This window comes from Homo sapiens, chromosome 6 (assembly GCF_000001405.40).
Source record: "Homo sapiens chromosome 6, GRCh38.p14 Primary Assembly".
Lineage (NCBI taxonomy): Eukaryota > Metazoa > Chordata > Mammalia > Primates > Hominidae > Homo > Homo sapiens.
This window is the reverse complement of record NC_000006.12, coordinates 135844904-135852900: the sequence shown is the minus strand read 5'-3', so window position 1 is coordinate 135852900 and position 7997 is coordinate 135844904. Positions and strand designations below refer to the sequence as shown.

The following is a 7997-nucleotide window of genomic DNA, read 5'->3' as shown; positions in this document are numbered from 1 at the left end:
TCTGGTGCAAAGAGGTTTACTCTTATTGCAATAGTCACTCTGGCTAGAGCACATGAAGAACAGAATTTTTAAATGATTAATTAGTCCCCAGGCTCAATCACTTAAGCCCCTAATTGAATATCTGACTCCATTTTCAACTATTGTAGGAAAAGATAATTAGCAAATTTGCAGTGGTAATAAAGAAGTTTTACTTTCCTTTATAAATAATAATATCTAAATTTCTGGTCATGTAACTTAGTACTTGCATCTCTCCTGGACTTCTGAATCCAAAACATTTTTTGAAAAATGCAACAAGGTGATGAAGGATTTTTCTTCAGAGCTCATTTTTTGGACATCTTCTATTGATTTTTTTCTACCTTCAGTCTCACTATCAGCTTCTTCCCTTCTTGCCACTAATTTCTTCATCTTGAAGTCTGCTATCAACCAACATGAAAAACTCAAGAAAAAAACTAATTTCCTTCTTCCCTGTTCCACAAACCTTACCAATCCCTTTACCAGCATTTTCCTATCCTGTCCCACCAAAAATGAAAATTACCCAACTCCAAGATTTATGTTGGAGAAAAAAAATATTGCATTCTTTATTTTTTTTTTTAAAGACCACCTCAGTGTGGGCTCAAAGTGCAGTGAAAATGCCGGAGTCTCATTACACTGGTTGGAATGAAACCCTGCTGCCCTTAAACGGTTAATTCAGGGTAAGTGATAATGTTTAGTCAGTTCGCCTAGAAAAAGGAAGGAAATTCAAAAGCTGGTTGCTGTAGTAACAATCACAGACAAAAAACATATATATGTACAGGTTCATTTTAAATAAAAATCCTGCCATCTCTCTGTGACTCTATTCTCTCAAGAAAACTGAGCTTGCCGCTTAAATTTGTTGTACATACCTCAACCATTAAACAAGACATTTAACCATAGTGGCAGTTCTGTGACCTTTGAATGCCGTGAAATCTCTGAGCGGTGCTGCTTGTTCATGAAGACTTGTGCTGCAGAATCCAGCAACTTCATCCAGGATTAGGAATATAATTAAGTAACAAAAAAAAAAAAAGAAAAAAAAGGAAAAGAAATAAAGAAACACAAAAGCACACAAGGAGATCGAGAAAGAAGGAAGGTAGAAAGAGAGACTCTCCCTGGGTGAGTAACACCACTTTTCTCCCAGACAAGTGCTGGGACAGAGCCGAGCCTGCTGCAGTGCCCAGACCAACTGACTGGCTGGGTGAGCAGCCGCCGGCCTGCTAGGCTGGGAGGTGCTGTCAGTTGCCACAGGCAAGGAAAAGCAGAGACCAATCGGCTTCAACTCTGGCAGCTTACTGGAGTGGAGCCTTTTCTGTTTATGTTTCCTCATTTCAAGAGTGACGTCAAAGGGTTTAGTTTTTCCTCTGCATGTGCTATTAATTTTAAAGTACTGTACTATGGGAAGAATGTGTGTGTGCCTGTGGTCAGCCTGGGCACCCCACTCTCAGGAGAGCCCAAGAAACATTTTCTATATTCGGGAATACATTTAAAGAATTTAAAATACCTTGTGGTGAGGTGTATAAAAACAAAAGCAAAACAAAACAAAAATTAAATATAAAACCCTGAGCTAAATCATAGCAGCAAGATGTAGATTTTTTCCATCTGTGAGTGTATGTGCTCCATGCTCACTTGGCAGCTGTTGCTTATTTTTTTTTACCTAATTCATTTTTACTCTTACCTAAAAATGAGTTGTTAATTAAACTTGATAGCCATAGAGGCAGAATCGTACAAATGCACTGGTGAACAAAATGATGTGCAATGAAACATAGAACTCCTGTGTCAGTTTGTGCCATGGGTCCCTGCGTTTCCTCCAGCTTCCGTGGTGAAGCCTCAGGCTTGTTCCTGCCAGGGAGATGCCTCCTGATGCCAGCAGGAGTCATTCAAGAAGCAAGGCTATGGTGATGCCATGCAGGTGTGCCTGGGGCCTCAGCTTGTTCTTTCCCAAAGAGTATGAAGGTCCAGTTATTTAGGGATACTTCCTTTACCAGGGACCCCAGCTTATCCCTGGGTTACACTTCCCACTCTGGAAAAATCCCCATAGTTGCCATCTGTTGTTTCTGCCTCCCCCACATCCTCCTCCTTTTCCCCATCCCCATCCTAAATTCTGCTAACAGACCTTTTTTGGGTGGGCGGTGGGCGGAACTTTCCTTCCTCTATCTTCTATGGATTGCATGGACTTTGCCCCCAGCCCCATTCCCACGACAGAGCCACAAGGGGGCATGGGACCCACAGGGGCCAATCAGATTTCTCCATTGCTCCGAGGCAGACTATGTTTTAGGGGTGGGCGCAACACTAAAGAATGTCCACATTCCTTTTTCAAATACTAATATTGTTTCTTTGAGAAAGAAAGTATTTATGTATCCCTAAGAGCCTAGGCGCTAGGATTAAGCATCCCTGTAGTTGTTGGGGTTTATCTTTGGTGTTGAAGCTACAATAGTGAACAAAACAGATGGTTCTTTGCCCCCATGGAGTCTACATTTTGGAGAAGCAGGGAAATTGTCAAAGAAAAATAAGTAAACGTATAATGTCAGTTGGCAATGAGGGCTTCAAAATAAGGTAAGGAGAATGAGGTGTGTGTGTACACGTGCATGTGTGTGTGTGTGGTGTGTGTGCTATTTTAGGAAAGATGATCAGGGCAGCCCTCTGATAAAGCAACTTGGAGCGGAGGCCCGAATGATGGGACATAGCAGGTACTGTGTGCCTCTACCTTCCATGCAGATGAAGCCATGGAAAGGTCCCACAACACATGAGTGCTTGGCAGAGCCAAGGAACAGGAAGGGAAATAGAGTGGCTGGAAGAGAATGAGCAAAGGGAAGAAATAAGTTTCAGAAGGTATGTCTGGGACAAGATCAGGACATGTCTTACAGGCCATGCACACGACTTAGATTTTATTCCAAGGTGAAAACCTACCTATCAGAGTGTTTTGAACTGAGGAATGTCTATGATTCGACACGAATTCTGAAGAGATTTCTCTCTTTTCTCTGTGGAAGATAGACTCCTAGGGAGCAAGAGTAGAAGCAGAGAGACCAATAAATGAGGCCACTGTGCTAACCTAAGTGAGAGCACATCATGGCTCGGACTTGGGTGAGAGCAGTGGAGAAGGTGGGAGGGCCAGATTTTGGAAGGGGGCCTGTGTATTTGCAGAGAGCGTTGGCAGTATTTGAAGATGAGAGGTGTGAGAAAAAGAGAGGAATCAAGAGTAATTTCCAGGTTCCTGGCTTGGGCAAACTGGACTAGAGTTGCCATTTACTGACATGGGGAAGACTGGGAGAAGAGCCTGGTTTTGAGGTGAAATAAATAACAGTTCTGGACCTTCACTGAACAGCAACAGATATTTGATTGTGTACTCTGTACCAGGCACTGTTCTAGGTGCTGGGGAGAATGCAGTGAAAACATATAACACACATACACACCCTCCAACACGTAATTCTTTGACCCCACGAAACTTAGATTCTTCTGAAAGGAGAATGGCCATAACAACAAATAAAAAATTTATATAGGATATCGGGTGGTAATACTGTTGTGAAGAAGAAACAGGAGAGGGAAGGGTCACTAGTCAGATAGAGGCTTGCAATTTTAAAGTGAGTATGCAGAGAAGGTGCCACTGCAAAGATGATGTTGGACACAAAGGGGAAGTTGATGAGGGAGGCATAGGGAGAGCATTTTAAACAAGAGGACATTAAGTGCAAGGCTCTGGGGACTGGAGTATTTGGCTGGTAAGTAGTAGGATATGGCAATGGGTGCAGAGGTGACAGATCAAGGAGAGTTTTCTAGGTCATTGTAAGGACTTTGGCTTCCTGTCTGCATGAAACAGGGCTTTAAGGAGAGGAATGAGGCAATCTGACTTACTTTTTGACAGGATCGCTCTGGCTACCATGTGGAGGTCAAGGTAGAAGAGAGTCTAATAAACGATATATTGCAATAAACAAGCCAGACATCCTAGTGGTGTCTACCACGATGCTTTGGTGGAGGTGGCTAGAAGTGGTTTACTTCCAATTATATGTTGGTGTTAAGGACAATAAGACTTGTTAAATGGATTGGGTGCTAAGTACAAAGGAGGGAGATTAGTGAGAGGAGCCAATGACATCTCCAAAATTTGGGGTTCCATCAAGTAGAAGAACAGAGCTAGCACTGACCAAGGGATGGCGGGAGAAGCAGGTTTTGTGGGGAAGATGAAGTTTGATATTGAATTTGTTAACCTTGCCTGTAAGATATCTACATGGAGATGTTGACTAGGCAGTGGAATATATAAGCATGCAGTTTAGGGTACAGTTCTGGGCTGTAGATATAAATTTGGAAGTCATTGTATACCTGTAGAACTTAAAGCCATGAAACTAGATACAATTACCAAGGGAATGAATGCAGATGGAAGAGCTGCAGGCAGTCCACGATTATGCTGTCAAGAATATAAAGAAGGACTAGCAAGGAAGGCTGACAAGGAGCCTCCAGAAAGTATAAGAAAAACCAAGAGAGAATGGTGCCTTAGAAGGTAAATTAACTATTTCAATGATCAGCTGTGTAAAATGACACTTAAATGAAGATTGAAAATTGACCCTTAAACTTAGAATGTGTAATCATTTGTGTCTTTAACAAAAGAAGGTTGAGTGTAGTAGAAAGTTGAAAGGTTAAGAAAAACGAAAGAAGAATTGGGAACAAAGAGTATAGGCAATTATTTCAAGGTGTTTTGCCCCAAAGAGAGCAGAGAAATGGAGCAGTCATTGAAAAGGAATATCAGCATGTTGTACACTGATGGAAAAAATGCAGTTAAGGGGAATAATTGGTGATGCGGAAGAGAGGGAGCAAATTTCTGGGGCACAAATCAAATTTGTGGTAGGCTACATGCCCTCCAGGTAAGTCCACACTCTAATTCCTGGAACGTGGGGACATGTTAATTGCATGGCAAAAGGGACTTTGCAGATTTAATTGAGGTTATGAATCTTAAAGTAGGGAGATTTTATCCTGGGTTTTCTGAGTGTGCCCAATCTAATCACATGAACCCTTAAAAGCAGAGAGATTTTTCTGGCTGGAAGCAGAAGAGAGATGCAGCAGACATCATAGAAGTTCCAAGTTTGAGAAGAATTCACACGATGCTGCTGTCTCTGAGTTGTGAGCCCGTGTGCAAGGATGCAAAAGAGATCTCTACTAGCAAAGAGTGAACCCCCAACTAACAGCTAGCAAGAAAATAGCCACCTAAGTCCTACAACTGCAAGGAACTGGATTTGCCAACAACTTGAATGAACTTGGAAACAGAGTCTTCCCTGGAACCTCCAGAAAATAATACAGCCCTGCTGACACCTTGTTTTCTTGCCTTGTGAGATTTTAAGCAAAGTACCTAGCCAAACCCACCTAGAGAAACAGGGACTAATATATTTTGTGTTAGTTTGTTTCAGCAGTGATATATAACTAGCAGAGTTATTGGCTTTGGAAAAGAGTGTGGATGTTTCATCCATAGACATAGAAGGCAAAACAGAGTAAATGGTACAGGTGTTGGTAGGCAGGTTGCAATGGCAGTGCAACCGTCACTGTATGTGAACATTCTCTGTGACTTCTAATTTCTCAGTGAAATGACAATTGTCTAAGAGAGGGGACGGGGAGGTGATGGAGGTTTGAGGAAAGGAGGTATAAAATGTCATCCACCAGAGTAAAGAGCCTAAATTACCAGAGAAATATAATATGATGGCCAAGAGTACTAGGGCCTATTTGAGTTTGGTTGTCATTAACTAACGTGATGCTAGATAGCATGTTACCTTTGCAATATTTATGATACATCCAAATATGAATCTTATGTAGGCAGCTTATATAGCATTCTGGAGCACCAAGGACGATGAAATAGTATTGAAAGCTGTGGGAGGGCATGAGATCACTTAGGAAATGAGAATAGACCCAAGGCTAAACTCTGTTTAGGTAATGGGAAATTGAGAAGGATCCAGCAAAGAAGATCAAGAAGGAGTGCCCTGAAGGCAGATGCACAGCCAAGATAATGGTCTCTCAGAAATCAAGTTCAAACAGTTGGTGCTATGGATTAAATTATGCCTCCTCCCTAAGTCATATGTTGAAGTCCTTACCTCCAATGTATTTGGAGATAGGTTTATAAGGAGACAACTGACTTAAACGAGGTCAAAAGGGTGAGTTCCTAATCTGATGGGGCTGATGCCCTCATAAGAGGAGGAAGAGACACAAGAGGTCTCTCTCCTTCCACCATGTGAGGACACAGACAGAAGGTGGCTGTCTGCAAACCAGGAGAAGAGCCCTCACCAGATACCTCCCTGCTGCCATCTTATTCTTGGACTTCCATTCTCCAGAACTGTGAGAAAATAAATCTCTGTTGTTTAAGACACTCAGTCTGTGGTATTTTGTTATGACAGCCCAAGCAGACTAAGACAGTCAGTTATGATAGTCAATGGATTTTCTTTTTTGTCTGAGGTTAAGTTGGCTTTCTGTTGCTCATCATAGGAAGTGTCTTAACAAATTCAGTGTCCAGTGTCCCTGTTTCCTAGAGGCAACTGCTGACTGTGTTCTCCCATGATACAAATACTTCACCATTTGCAGCTTGAGAAAACTTTAAGGATATACCTACACCTGTATCGATATGCATGTCCATGTCCATGTCTATGTCTATGTCTTTCCCAGTATCTATCTAATTATCTCCACCAAACACAGTAATATTAATCTAAGACTACTAGGTTTAAAACACTCACTCATCTGCAGAGGTACTATTATTTAATAAATACTTCAAAGTATTCTTTGAAGCACAGCATTTGAAATGACCCCACTTTCTGTAATTTATTAGTTATAATCTAAAAGGAGTAACTTTTTTATTTTCACTTTCATCCTAAATCTTCTTCTTAAATAGCCCATGATCTGTCACTCATAGAAATGACCATTTTTAGTCATTTTCTTTCCTTTGCAATTCAACTGTCTATATTCTCTTATTAAAAAAATATTTTTTTTTAGAGAGAGAGGGTCTTGCTATGTTGCCCAGGCTGGTCTTGAACTCCTGGCCTCAAGCAATCCTGCTGCCTTGGTCTCCTGAAGTGCTGGAATTACAGGTGTGAGCCACTGTTCCTGGCCAAAACCATTTTCTTTTATTTCCTTTTTTTTAGACAGGGCCTCACTCTGCTGCCCAGGCTGGAGTGCAGTGGTGTGATCATAGCTCATTGCATCCTGGGCTCAAACAATCCTTTTGCCTTGGCTTTCCAAGTAGATGAGACTGCAGGCATGTGCCGCCATCATGGCTGACAGTCTCTTTTTAACAATCAGTTCTTGCAAGAACGAGTAGTGTAAGAACTTATTACTGCAAAGACGTCACAAAACTATTCATGAGATCTGCTGCCATGATCCAAACACCTCCCACTAGGCCCCACCTCTAACATTGGGGATTAAATTTCAACATGCGATGTGGAGGGAACAAATATCTAAACTATATCAGGCATGGCAGATGATAAGTTCACTTTTGAACCTAACATCAAAGTGAAGATGGATATGTGGCTATGAAACTTAGCAAAACAAAACAAAAGAAACTTGGGCTAGAAGAACAGTTTTGAGTAGCATCATATTGGTGAAATTAAGCTACATTAGCTCATGAAGTGTGCTTAGAGTGAGGAGAGAAGAGGGTCTGGGGGAAAATTGAAGGGAATACCAGTATTGAAAGGAGGAGAAGCCTATTAAAAAATCGAGAAGTGGCAACATATGAGGATAAAAAGAAGGATGTGGTATCACAGTATACAAGGAAAACGATGTAAAATATAGTCAGCAATCTTAAATCTGCTTAGAGAAAAATAGAAGAAGACGTCTTTTACAGCAATTAAATAGCTGTACATTGTAAAGTATTGCAATATTGGTGTAGGCATCTATAAATTGTAAAAAATGGAACAGAAAAAAGTCTAAAAGTGAATCATCATGTATATAAAACTTTAAAAGATAAAGTTGATATTTTAATGAGTGGAGAAGAAATGGACTAGTTAGTAAATGATGTTAGAACAAGGCTA

At 41.1% G+C, this 7997-nt stretch overlaps 1 protein-coding gene across 1 annotated transcript in view, besides 1 other annotated feature; it reads right to left on the bottom strand.

Moving 5' to 3' along the window:
* Positions 1-1200, bottom strand: part of PDE7B (phosphodiesterase 7B) — a 343874-nt gene extending 342674 nt beyond the window's left edge. Inside the window, exon 1 of the mRNA NM_018945.4 lies at positions 882-1200. Within this exon, the coding sequence (NP_061818.1) occupies positions 882-902 (21 nt within the window). The 5' untranslated portion in view covers positions 903-1200. The remainder of the gene's footprint in view (positions 1-881) is intronic.
* Positions 1176-1413: a silencer, noted in NCBI's record as "fragment chr6:136172626-136172863 (GRCh37/hg19 assembly coordinates)". NCBI's record gives its function as "represses an EF-1alpha promoter that drives an FKBP-Casp9 reporter gene in an ReSE screen in K562 erythroleukemia cells {active_cell/tissue: K562}" and the evidence as "EXISTENCE:reporter gene assay evidence [ECO:0000049][PMID:32094911]".